A 14,355-nucleotide genomic window follows, 5' to 3' on the forward strand; every position below is an offset into this window, starting at 1 on the left:
GGCAATACCATTTCTAGATATCTATCTAAATGTGCAAAGCGGGACCTGAAAGAAACATTTACATACCCACGTTTATGACAGAATTATTCTAAAAATCCAAAAGGTAGAAGCTACTTGAATGTCCCTTGACAGATAAATAAGTAAATATGATATATACATACAATGAAATATGATTTTAAAAGGAAATCTTATCACATGCTGCAATGACAATAAACCTTTAGGGCATGATGTTAAGTGAAATGTGCCAGGAAACAAAGTGACAGTGATTGTGTGATTCCACTTATGAGATATCTTAAGTAGTCCAACTCACAGAAATGGAAAGTAAAATGTTAAGGGCTCAGGAGAGGGTAAAATGGGCAGTTGACGTATATGGGTATTGAGTTTTAGTTTTGCAATGGAAAAGCTCTAGAAGCCTGTTGCATAACAATGTGGATATATGTACCACTAATAAATTATGCAATTACAAATGTATAGACTGGTAAATTTTGTTGTGTTTTATTACAGTTAAAATATTGTAAAGTGATACATAAAAGAGATACCGAGTTACAAACTTTTTGGAAAATTACCTTCAAATTATAAATGTGTTTTCCTCACACAAAGAAAATATAGATTTGTTCAATAAATACGTGGGTAAGTTAAGACTACTTATATGACTACTGTCCTGAACAAGATAAAACAACTTTTGACACCAGCCAAGAAGAGAAATATGCAAGATAATTAAGAAGAAATAGACTATATTTATAGAGGCAAACAAACACACGATTTTATTGGTGGTAGATATGGCTGATTCATATTTTGATTAAACATCACATTGACTTAACATGTATATAGAGTTGCAGATTTACATCCAAAATCATAATACGTAGGTAAAACCAAACTCACAAAACACGAATGTCAAGGAACTTACCAAAAAAAAAAAAAAAATAGTAATATGAAATTTCAAAAAAGAATGAGAGAAACAACGAAAAAACTCCTATATAAAACATAGATTTACAACTAAGAAAGAATCCTCCTAGATAACTACAATCTTCAGCTGTGACTGTGCATCCGTGGTGAGCAGGGATTTTGAATCAAGACTGCGTTAGGAAGAGGCTCAAGGGGGCAGACAGTGCCACCTCCAGAGAAGCCACTGCTCCTACTCCTGCCTCTCCTGCTACTGCCGCCACGGTCCTCTGCTCCTGCAGCCCCCACTGGGCGCCGGATTCCTTCTTGGAGTGCGGAGGTCCTGTTCCTTCAGGAACGACAGACAGCTTTTCTCCCCGTCTCCTCGTTTGCTCAGCCGGCAGGTGCAGGACTGGAGATCTGAGGTGGTCCTGCGTCTCGAGGAGCCGGGCGCCCGACTGTGAGAAGGAGGAGGCAAGCTATGGGAGAGGGGGCGACAGGAATGCCAGGCTCATGAGGCCGGCGGCCGCGGCCCAGGCAGGGCTGGCTGCTGCCTGGGCCGGATGGTAAGAGATACTGTGGAAAGAAAATAAAATAAAATAAGTAATAATAAAGTTTAAAATAATAAACCTAACATAGGTAATAGTTAACATTCAGCATAGGTTACTTAGAAGTTATACATAGGCTAAGAAATTTCAGCAGTCCATTCCAGCATTGCTAACAAGTTGCAGCTGCGAGCTTATCTCAATCTTCCAAGCTTATTGCCTGCCTCCAGACCCCCGCATATTCCTGTAATTCGTGTTTTCCCTTACCCCAGCTCTGTTCAGCTTCAAAGTTGACTGGACAAAATAACTAAATTGTAAGTTCTCTCCGAATTGTCACGGGTTGGATAATTTACTGTCTTTGTCTGAAACCTGTAACCTGCCTTGTTTTCCCGCCTCAAACGGCACTTAAGCCAGCCTGCTTTCTTTGCAGGGGTCGGCAGCCATTTTGGGCATGAGCCTGCTGTTGGCTCAGGTGCCTGAATTAAATAAAGTTCTCTTTGGTCTCCAAAGGTCTCTTCGTGTTCCTTGGCTGGAGTTTTACTACAACAGTATCAGATGTCGCCACCATCCCCATCCTTGGCTCCCTAGCCGTCATTCATACATCCTGTGTTCAACAAACAGAAGTGGCAGCGGGAGCTGCTGCTCCGCGAGGGGGAGTGGCCTGGCAGGGGGCACACAGCTGCTACCTGCTGCGAGGCGAGTTGGTCTGCAGCCTGGGCCTTTGTGCAGGACACATCGCCGCCCTTGTCCCGCTTGCTCCCCCGCCTGCCACGCAACATGCTCAGGTGCCAGATCTCGGGCATTCCTGGCAAGCGTACTGTGGCGGGGAGGCAGCAGGGAGGAGGGGTTTGCCAGGAGCCCTGAACAGAGGTTCTTGGCATGGAGAAGAGACAGAGGTGGCTGACTGGTTCCAGTTTTAGGTGGGTGGGGGGAGGGGGTGGCAAACCCCATGGGACTTTGTTTTTTTCAAGGAGACTTCAGTTCACTTCTTATCTGTTCTCCACCCGCTTAAGCCTCTGAGAACAGAGGAGATGGGGCTCTTTTAAATTGGCCTGGCCGTAACGGTCTGGACCCTTGCCGCAGGGCAGATCTCATTTGGGGGCTCTTTGAAGCCTGGAGGCTCACGCCTGTCCATCCCAGGTGTCTTCAATATAGGGTCAAGTTAGGCCTGGCTGGCAATGATGCTGGAATGCAGGACGATCTGGCCAGATCTTCGCCTGTTACAGGATATTTTAGCCTTCAGCACCCTGCACCATTTCCCTCACGTGCAGAAGCCCCCGTGAGCCTCAGTGTTGCTAGGGCCCAGACCCTGGATGCCTCTCTATTAGAGTCCCACTTTACCCCACCTAAATGCACCAGGCCCTTACTCTGCCTTTCCCCTTTTCCCAGAACATGCCCCATTCAACTCCAACAGGACATGTCTGGACCACGTGCACCCCTCTTCAGTGTTAAAACAGAGAAAATAATGTATTTTTCACTGAACATGTAACTGATTTAACATATAAGGAGATCAGCTTTATGTGTAGATATGCATGTAAATATACACAAAATTTCTAACGTTGTGGGAAAATTAACATCTTTACACTTTGTTCAGTGATTTTATAGTTTTCTCTCTCTTACTCACTTGCTTCTTTTTTTTTTTTTTTTTTGAGACAGAGTCTTGCTCTGTTGCCCAAGCTGGAGTACAGTGGCAAAATATCAACACACTGCAGCCTCTGCCTCCTGGGTTCAGAAGATTCTCAGGCTTCAGCCACCCGAATATCTGGAATTACCAGCATGAGTAACCATGCCCAGCTGTTTTTTGTGTTTTTAGTGGAGACGGGGTTTTGACATGTTGCCCAGGCTGGTCTCGAACTCCTGGCCTCAACTGATTTGCCCACCTTGGTCTCACAAAATGCTGGGATTACTGGCGTGAGCCTCTATGCCTGGCCTACTTGTCACTATCTCTATGTTTATTTGTTCAATAGGAAAATTCTCAGTGAAGACTCCTCAGCATGATGAAGATAAGCTTGCACAATCAGTCATTGATAGATGCTTAGTGGAAAAACTTCCAATTCCCATTTGCAGCTCTCAGAGCTAGGATTAAAAACTCCTGGTCATAACCTCATGTGATGAGAAGTTATAGCATGCCCTCATTTTCTACATATCCACCTGCATTTACAATTAGCTTTCAAACTTGCTAGAAGGGAAAGAAGTGGGAATGTGTCCCCCTTAGAGCTACTTTCCTCCCCTTGCTGGGTTTCCAGTTTGTGCATTGTCCAGATGGCCCAGGAGCTTATGATCAAAGTGAAGAGGTCCTGTTTGTCATGAGAATGCTGCTTTGCTGCATCAGGATTCAGTGAAACTGTTCACCGCCTGGAGCCCATGTGGACTCCAGAGGCAGGATGAAGCTCAGAAACCGTCACTGAGGTTAGGAAGTGAGCACCAAAGTTGAGGGCTGCCCACAGGAGAGGGCCAAAATGCTCCCTTTGGATTTCCAAGTGGTTGCTTCTTGCATCAGTCTTGCTTCTGACCACACTGTGTTCCTGGTCCCGTCTTCCTGGCATTTTGCTGTTTGTGTCCAAGGGAAAGAGTCCTGGATGGCAGTGCTGAGAAGGATGCCTGCCTGCTAAAGCTGATCCCCTGGTGAGCTCTGCAGCCTGTTAAGCAGAGCCTGAAATTCTTTCTCACTGAGTGGTGATTCAGACCACGGAGGGCCCTCCTCTTGTGGATCTGCATTCCGAAAAGATTGTGCCTTTTCCTGAAACTCTGGGACTTGTAGAAGATCATGCAGATGACTGGTGTGGTTGCTCCAGCAGATAGATGGCTCTTTCATGGCTTGTGCCTGTTTCTGCCACAGGTAGACCTATGTGCATGGGCTACTAAGGTGCTCCTGCTCCAGGTTGCCATTGAATCATGGCATCCTGGGACCCGTTGCCTAAGCTCCACCACTTGTGAAGGTGGGATGTGTCCTGTTGACCCAGACTCTAAAATTGTGGCTAAGGATGACCAGACTGTGGCTGTCCCTTTAAGGCAGAACTTCCAGGCCAGTGTCTTATTTTTCTTGTCATCCTAAAGTTTTCCTTTCGACTGAGGCCAGAAACAAGTCTGTGTATGGGAGAGCCTCCCTCCTAGAGTTGGTACCATTGACATATGACTCCTAAGTGCCAGAAGAGGTTGAGAGAACTCTCCCATCTGCACAGCCAGGGTGCTATGTGCATCGTGACCCTTGGTGCCTGGCTCACACAGCCTGCAGAGGGATCCAAAAAATCACAGGTTGTGGGAGGTGAAGGAAGAGCTGGTACAAATGACAGGTGGCTGCTGACAGAATAGGAGGCAGGAAGAAGATGAGACCTGCCTGGGGTAGTGCACATGTTTTGTTCCAGCCAAACAGTCAGATGAGGTCTTGGTCTTGGACCCGCTGCCAGGGAATTCACAAGCCCGCTTCTGCTGTGGCCTGGGAGCTGAGGTCTTTGGTTCTGAAACCAAATGTAAATTTTGGACTCTGAAATGCCTGTCTGTTTAGCCAGTTTCTCTATAATGGTGATTCCAGGAAAGGAATTCTCTTGGAAAATGTTGAGGGTCCTTCTCAAAGGCTTTAATGAGTACACTGGTGTGTGATTGAGTGATGGATGTCCTTTCCTCCTGCCTTCTTATTTGACTTGCACAATAAATATTAACTATGGCAGTTACGGTCATATCTTTCATTACAACATAAGAAACTTCAAGTCATTCATTGATGACACCAAAGCCTCATTCTCCTACATTAAACATTCTCCTACATTAAACTTCTTGAATCTTCTGTGCCAACTGTCTAGAAAACCTAAACACATGAAATACTACAAATTAGAAATAAATACCTCAATAGGCACCAATTATAAAAGCAAATCCAAGAAGGAACAGAATATATGAATACACATATAACAAGTAAAGAGATTCAATTAATTAAAAATCTTCACAAAAAGAGAAGCCCAGAGCCACATGGCTTAACTGGTAAATTCTACTAAACATTTAATGAAGAATTAATGCCAACTCTTTACAAGACCTTCCAGAAAATATGGGACAGTTATTGGGAACACTTCCCAATTTGTTCTGTGAGGCCAGTATTACCCTGATACTAAAGGCAGACAAAAGCATCAGAAGTAAATATGTGTATGGATGAATTTCCCTGATGAATACACACAGAGAAATTCTCAAAAAAGCAAAATGAATCAAGAATATATCAAAATGAATGTACACCATGACCAAATGGAATTATTTTACAGATGCAATATTGATCTATCCGATAATCAATCAGTGCCTTACACAAAGTAATAGGATAAAGGAAATTAACAGAAAGAGCCTTTCAACAGACACAGGGAGCATTTGACCAATCCAATATTCATTCACAATCTCCCTGGAAAGGAAGGGTACAAGCAAACTTCCTAAATCTGCTAAAGAGCATCAGTGAAAAACTTACACCTAACGCCATAATAGTAAAATACTGGTTGTTGTGTCTTGACATTTTAGAACAAGGCAAAAATGTTAACATCCAAAGAAATTACATGAGAGAAAAAAACAAAATCATCAATGTGGGAAAATAAGATGTTAGAATTGTCTATCATTGCAGAGGACATAAGTGAATATAAAAGTTTATAAAAAACTCATTAAAACCCACTAAAACCAATACATGAGTTCAGCAAGGTCACAAGATACAAAATCAATATGCAAAGTTCAATTGTACTTTTATGTACTAACAATGATCAACCTGAAAATAAAATTAAAAAAACAATCCATTTGTGTATGTATGAAAAAGAAAGAAATATTTAGGAGTAGATTTAATGAAGTGCAATTTTACCGTAAAAAGAAATCTTTGTTAAAAAATTTTAAAACACTGAAAAAAATAGGCATCAATGTTTATTTAGTTAATGTTATTCCATTATCCAGTGTATCCATTTAAACTCCACACAATAAAACAAAATATATTTTAGCATTATTTTAGTGTAATAAATACAGGTTTGTAGAAAACCCATGAAAGGAACTAATTCTACATGTCCAGAATAGCCCATCCTAATTTTTCTATTTTACATCTACTGTAAATCAAACCGATTTTGTTCCATATTTTATAGCGGAACGTAAGATAAAATCCAAATTGTTAAATATGTGAGATTGATTATAAGCCCACCAAGGAGGTTTTTACTCAGTGTGGGAATTCAGAGAGCATGAAGTTGCAAAGACAGAAGCAAATGTTTTTGAATGAATTATGAGGGACAATACTCACAGGAGTGCTTCACACTTTTATCAACTGACTCATGTCATCTCACTTTAGGAGAAACTGCCTCTAATTTTAGACATTGGTTCGTAGCAAATGCTAAATGAACCAGCACCAAGTTTATATCCAGGAGAACTGCTTACTCTAGAGGATTTTGTCTCTTGGATAATGACATGATTCTGTCTTTCATAGGCTACTCCAAAACTTCTATAATGATGGTAGAGTTTAGTGAAGTGGAGCATCGGCATGCCATCCCCATGCTCCTGACAAGCAGCAGCAGCTAACCTAAGCACAGTCACATAGGGCATGCCATTGACACCCACCTTGCTGTTGTTCACCTCCACATACTAAGTTGCCATACACTTTGCAGTGGAATTTCACCTTACTGCATCTGGTTGGTCAGCAGTCCTGCAGGTAGAAAGAGTTGGTCAGGAGGGCACATTGAGAGAATAGATGGGAGCTCAGAGGCTGCCTAGCTCCCTGCACCCTGCCCACAGGCCACAGTCCTCACCCAGCTGTCCAGCATGCATGTCTGCTGAAGGCTGCTGCACTTGTTCTTCATCACAGAGGTGGGATGAAAGCAGTCTGAGGGCACCACACTCCATGATCAGGGTCTACTTCTGGTGCCATAGCTCCAGGTGGAAGGACAGGTAAGCAAAAGACAGGTCCCACCTTCCACATCCAGCCCACACTCCCACCAACTTCCAGGCCCACCTCAATATCCTGATGTGATGCTCTCCTTAGACCTCTTGTGGTTCTTCAGCCAGGAGATGGAGAGAGTGGGGTTGCTAGGAGCCAGGCAGTGAAAGTTGGTTGTGGTGGCCAGCATGGCTGGCAGTTTCCTGTCCATCCACTGGGGCAAAGTCCAGGAAGGGGTCTCTGCTGGTGGAAGCACACATGAAGGCCATAGCTGAGGCGAGGAACAGAGACCCATCTGACCAGACCCCCGATTCAAGATCACCCTGCCCACTCCGAGTCTCATGTTTTTCTCCTGTGTAGGGAGAGTGTTGACATGTCAAGGACATCTACTTGGGCTGAATGAGGCTCCCAGGAGCTTCAACACAATGTCCCCACCCAGTCATGCTCAGAGCTGGCAATGTGTGCCTTTCTATTCCCTCTGCTTCCCCCAAGTGGCTGCTCCTGCTGAGAGGCTGGGGTTCTTCATCCTGGCCTGAAAGCCTCAAAGAATAATGGAGTCTCGAGGGGATACCCCACCTGCACAGGGAGGCACATGGGGAGGGCCCACCAGGAAGGAGGCCCAGCAGGTAGCCCAGCTAAGTGAGTGAGTCAGGACAGGCATTGGGAGCAGTTTACCAGGAGAAGAAACCCAGCCCCTTGCAGAGCTGGGAGCCTCAGAAGCAGCTGAGAAGCCTTGGTCCACAAGCCTCTGAGCCCATAAGCCACCCCCTGCAGAGCTTCAGGGCCCGGTGGGCACTGGTGAGGATGGCGGCCTGGAGGCTTCGTCTCTTTTTTATCCTGACTTCCAGGGCTGTCACCATTCCCCCTCTCACACCTCAGCTAGTTTTTCTAATTTCTGGGTGCTGGGGTGGGGCTGCCTTCCTGCCTGGACTTGTGGGTAGGCTCAACTGCCTTACCCCCAGGAGAGAAGCACCAGGGGCCCAGGAAAGAGAAAGGAGGCAGCCGCTTCCCCACAGTGACCTCCTTGCCATTCACATGCAGCGACAGGCCCACCTTTCGGTGGAGGATGCTGAAGCACAGCCGGGAGCTGTGTAGAGAGACGCTGGGAAGAGGCACCAATCACAACTCTGAGCTGTCCTCTGGGATTCCAGGGGTGGGAGATGGGGACCCACTGGTGATTAAGACAGCTCAGCAAACTGTGGCACAGGATGTTCCCAGGACTGGGAGACAACAGTGACTCAATGCTGCTCACTTCTAGACTGTGCCTTCTTAAAGTGGCTCTTCAGTTACCCCCAGAGCTTGAGCCCACACCATCCTGGGATGGCTGGGTAGGCAGAGGTGAGTAGGGACTCAGGGGGAGTGCACAAGGGTGTGTGGGCAGGGGCAGAGGCTGCTGAGGCAGGTGAGGGGAAATTTTCATCCTTTCCTGTCTGCTCCTCCCGGGGTCTACTTTCCTCTCTTCCCTCTGCCTCTGGCTCCCTGGCTGGCTCCTCCTCACTTTCTTTCCTGCTCACTCCAGAGGTCTCAGGGGCTCAGCCCACCACCAGTGGTCCCCAAGTTGCAGCTGCCTCTCCCATGCCTATCCCATGAGGACCCTCATCTGCCTGAGCACATCTCTGGGCTCCTCTGAAACCAGAAGCCCCATCTTCCTGACAGACCCCTCCACAACTGGGCAGAGTTCACCTGCCACTGTTCCAGGCCAGAATGACTGGGAATTGTTCCGCTGCTGCTGTTTCACACCCACAGCCAATCCCCCACAAATGCTGTTGGCATCACTTTTACAACCCTCATGGCCACCCTGCCCTCCTGCTGGGCTGTAGCTTTTGTCCCCTCCATCCATCTGCCCCTTGGCAGCCACCTGAGCCCCCAAGCACTGCTGTGCTCACACCTACAGTAGCCACCTCACCCAGAGCCAACATCAAAGTCCCCACAGGCCAATCCTGGCCTCCTCACTGCTCCTGGAACCCCAGGACCCTGTGCCCCAGTCTCCCCATCTGCAGCATGTGTGTCTCCTCTGACCCCCAGCCTGCCCCACAGAGCCCAAGACATCCAGAGCCATCTAATAGATATGTAATACATATCATTTACATAATAATTCATGATACATCATATTATATACAAAGTACGATGTCATAATGTACTGTGATGCCATAATACATATGAAGTATAATGTCATAATATATTGTGATGTCATAACACATACTGATGATGATGTCACAATATACTGTGACGTGATAATGCCTATGAATTTTGATGTCATAATACATGTGCATTATGATGTCATGATATATTGTGATGTTGTAGTATAAATTATGATGCCATAATATATTATGATGTCATGTTGTGTGTGCATTATGATGTCATAATATATTGTGATGTCATAATACATATGAATTATGATATCATAATATGTTGTAATGTCATAATATATTTATTTATCACATTAATGGTATAATAACATAAACTTTGTCAGGTAATTTTACAAGAAAATTCAGTGAAATTTTGTAACAATATTAACATCTAAAGTAGCTTATAATCATGATGAAAAATGAAAGAGCTGCAGGAATCTCACATGGTAGGAGTTGAAACAGGAAAGATCAGGGAGGGGTATGCTTCACTTTTAAACCACCACATCTCGTGAGTACTCACTATGACAAGGACAGCACAGAGCCATGAGAAATCTATCCCCATGATTCAACCATCTACCACCATGCCCCACCTGTAACATTAGGGATTAAAATTCAATATGAGATTTGGAGGAGACATCTAAACTATATTATATGACCATTAGTGTGGGCGAAAGGTCACCAAGGTGCCAAGGCAAGAGACTGAAACAAACTGTTTCAGTATAATAAAGAAAATTGTTAGAATAGAATAGTCATAATACAAATTAGATATAGAGATGATCATGGGCAATTATCAATCATTATTATAAACATTATTAATCATTAGCTTTTAATATTACTCTTTATTGCATTGCTAATATAACCTAGGAATAACCGGCGGGTATAGGGTCAGGTGCTGAAGGGACATTGTGAGAAGTGACCTAGAAGGCAAGAGGTGAGCCTTCTCTCACGCCCCCATAAGGGCCGCTTGAGGGCTCCTTGGTCAAGTGGTAATGCCAGTGTCTGGGAAGACACTCATTACTTAGCAGACCATGAAAGGGAGTCTCCTTTCCTTGGAGGAGTCAGGGAACACTCTGCTCCACCAGCTTCTTGTGAGAGGTTGGATAAATTATCCAGGCCTTCCCACAGTCATCCAGAGGCCTAAACCCCTCCCTGTGGTGCTGTGCTTCAATGGTCACACTCCTTGTCCACTTTCATGTTCTTCCCATACTCCTGGTTCCTCTTTGAAGTCTATAGTAGATAATGGTAGAAGGAAGTCTTAAAGTCTTTGTTCTTTCTTATAAGTGCATAGAAGGAAACGCTGACATATGCTTCCTTCTCTCTGTCTGCTTCGGCTACCTAAGAGGGAAGGGCTCCCTGTCCTGTGATCACATGACTTGCTTCACCTTGTCAATCACTTAGAAGATTCACCCTCCTTACGCTGCCCCCTTGTCTTGTATGCAATAAATATCAGCCCGTCCAGCTGTTCGGGGTCACTAGTGGTCTCTGCGTCTTGGTGGTAGTGGTCCCCCGGGCCCAGCTGCTTTCTCTTTATGTCTTTGTCTTGTGTCTTTATTTATTATAATCTCTCGTCTCCGCACACAGGGAGAACACCTGCTAAACCCCGTAGGGCTGGACACTACACATTAGAAAAACAGATGAGGCTGGATACGGTGGCTCATGCCTGTAATCCTAGCACTTTGGGAGGCCGAGGCGGGTGGATCACAAGGTCAAGAGATTGAGGCCATCCCGGCTAACAGAGTGAAACATGGTCTCTACTAAAAATACAAAAAATTAGCCAGGCATAGTGGCACACACCTGGAGTCACAGATACTCGGGAGACTGAGGCAGGAGAATCACTTAAACCCAGGAAGCAAAGATGTAAGCTGCACTCCAGCCTGGGCAACAGAGTAACAGAGCAACAGAGCAACCAGCACTCCAGCCTTGGCAACAGAGCAAGACTCCGTCTCAAAAAGAAAAGAAAAGAAAAGAAAAACAGATGAAACATTCATGGTTTCTACAGATACTTTCATTCCAGAGTAAACGGATACACGATTGAATTCTGTGGTTAGAAGAGAAAAGGGAGGTGTACGGGGGACTTTGGCTGCATTTGTTCTACTTCCCTTATGCTGTTGTTGTGAGTTCTGATGTCACCACCTGAAGGGCTCTTCATAGACAGAAGAATTATGGCTATTGTTGTGATTATTCCTTTTTCTTTTACCTTAGTAAAAATAAATTTTTTAGCTTCTCATATAATTTTTTAAAAAACCCTAAGAGATTTAGTCAAATTCCTTGTTATTGTATGGTATAAAAATTGACAGGGAAATGGCTAAAATATATTAAAATTACACAAACTCTAGGAGTCAAGTTTCTATTGGGCAGTATTAGGAAAGACAGAACTGGAAACACTCCACCATAATAGACATCGAAGGGGGCCAGCCCCTCCACACTTGTGGGTATTTCTCGTCAGGTGGGAGGAGAGACTGAGAAAAGAAATAAGACACTGAAACAAAGTATAGAGAAAGAACAGTGGACCCAGGGGACCGGTGCTCAGCATACAGAGGACTCGCACCAGCGCTGGCCTCTGAGTTCCCTCAGTATTTATTGATCATTATTTTTACTATGTTAGTGATGGGAGTGTAGCAGGGCAACAGGTGGGGAAAGGTCAGCAGGGAAATATGTGAGCAAAGGAATCTGTATCATGAATAAGTTCAAGGAAAGGTACTGTGCCCAGATGTGCACATAGGCTAGATTTATGTTCCTCTTTACACAAACATCTCAGTTTAGCAAAGAGTAACAGAGCAGTATTGCTGCCAGCATATCTCACCTCTAGCCACAGGGTGGTTTTCTCCTATCTCAGAATAGAATGAGTAGGAATGGTCAGCTTTACACTGAGACATTCCATTCCCAGGGATGAGCAGGAGACCAAAGCATTCCTCTTATCTCAACCGCAAAGAGACCTCCCTTACCATTTACCATGCCATCTCACTGCCTTGTCTGGTGATTTTGAGAACTCCTGTGTCCAGTTCAGAAGTCAGAGACTTCTATCCCATCTCAGTGGGGGCAAACCTTGGACAACACCCAGGCTTTCTTGGGCAGAGGTCCCTGAGGCTTTCTGCAGTGCATTGTGTCCCTGGTTAATTGAGAATGGAGAATGGCGGTTTCATTTTTCTTGTATGCAGGATGATTTTTAGGATTTTTTTTCTGTTATATTTTTTGCATTCTGGTTACCTAGAAGGTAGTGATTATTACCCCAAACCAGGGCTTGATATTGTGTTAGTCCACTTTCATACTGCTATGAAGAAATACCTGAAACTGGGTAATTTATAAAGAAAAAAAGGTTTAATGGACTCACAGTTCCACATGGCTGGGGAAGCCTCACAATCATGGCAGAAGGCAAAGGAGGAGCAAAGACATGTCTTACATGGTGGCAGGCAAGAGAGAGAGCATGTGCAGGGGAGCTCCCCTTTATAAAACCATCAGATCTTGTGAGACTTATTCTGTTTCACAAGAGCAGCACAGGGAAAAACCCATCCCCATGATTCAAGTTCCTCCAACTGGGTCCCTTCCATGACATATGGGGATTATGGGAGCTACAATTCAAGATGAGATTTGGGTAGGGACATGGCCAAACCATATCATTCTTCCCCTGGCACCTCCTGAATCTCATGTTCTCACATTTCAAAATCAATCATGCCTTCCCAACAGTCCCCCAAAGTTTTAACTCATTTCAGCATTAACTGAAAAGTCCATAGTCCAAAGTCTCATCTGAGACAAGTCCCTTCCACCTATGAGCCTGTAAAACTAAGAGCAAGTTGGTCACTTCCTACATACAATGGGGGTACAGGTATTGGGTACCCCCAATGTATTTACACCTGTTCCAAATGGGAGACATTGGTCAAAACAAAGGGGCTACAGGCTCCATGCAAGTCTGAAATCCAACAGGGCAGTCATTAAACATTAAAGTTCCAAAATGATCTCCTTTGACTCCATGTCTCACATGCAGGTCACACTGACACAAATGGTGGTCTCCCATGGCCTTAGGCAGCTCTGCCTCTGTGGCTTTGTAGGGCACAGCCTCCCTCTTGGCTGCTTTCACTAGCTGGCATTTTGTATGGCTTTTCCAGGTACACAGTGTAAACTGTTGGTGGATCTACCATTCTGGGGTCTGGAGGATGGTGTAACTACCATTCTGGGGTCTGGAGGATGGTGGCCCTCTTCTCACAGCTCTTCTAGGCAGTGCCCCAGTAGGGACTCTGTATGGGGGACAGAGCCCACATTTCACACCTCTACTACCCTAAAAGAAGTTGTTCATTAGCCCCTGCGCCCGCCCCTGCCCCCCGCCCTGCCAAAGCAAACTTCTGCCTGGACATGCAGGTGTTTCCATACATTCTCTGAAATGTAGGTGGAGGGTCCCAAACCTGAATTCTTGACTTCTGTGCATCTGCAGGCTCCACAGCTTGTGGAAGCTGCCAAGGCTTGCGACTTGCAACCTCCGAAGACATGGCCTGAGCTGTACCATGGTGTCTCCCACCCAAGCCATGGCTGGAGTGGCTGGAATGCAGGGCATCACGTCTCTAGGCTGCACACAGCAGGGGGACCTGGCCCTGCTCCAGGAAATGATTTTTCCATACTAGGCTTTTGAGCCTGTGGTGGAAAGAGCTGCTGTGAAGATGTGAAGGTCTTTCATGTCCTGGAGACATTTTCCCCATTGTCTTGGTGATTAACATTTGGCTCCTCGTTACTTATGCGAATTTCTGCAGGAGGCTTTAATGAAAGTCGGTTTTTCTTTTTTCTTTTCTTTTTTTTTTTTTTTCGTTGACGGAGTCTCACTCTGTTGCCCAGGCTGGAGTGCAGTGGCGCAATCTCGACTCACTGCAACTTCTGCCTCCTGGGTTCAAGCAATTCTCCTGCCTCAGCCTCTCGAGTAGCTGGGACTACAGGTGCACGTCAC

The 14,355-nt window shown here is 45.3% G+C and overlaps 1 long non-coding RNA gene across 1 annotated transcript; it reads right to left on the reverse strand.

The window, feature by feature from the left end:
* Positions 1-6,918: 6,918 nt before the first annotated feature.
* Positions 6,919-7,805, reverse strand: LOC105371177 (uncharacterized). The gene is made up of 3 exons (XR_950996.4): positions 7,372-7,805; positions 7,169-7,289; positions 6,919-7,065 (listed from the first exon to the last, which is right to left on the reverse strand). It is a non-coding gene; the product is annotated as an uncharacterized LOC105371177 (long non-coding RNA).
* Between the last annotated feature and the right edge of the window lie 6,550 nt (positions 7,806-14,355).

Source organism: Homo sapiens, chromosome 16 (genome assembly GCF_000001405.40).
Source record: "Homo sapiens chromosome 16, GRCh38.p14 Primary Assembly".
NCBI classification, from domain to species: domain Eukaryota; kingdom Metazoa; phylum Chordata; class Mammalia; order Primates; family Hominidae; genus Homo; species Homo sapiens.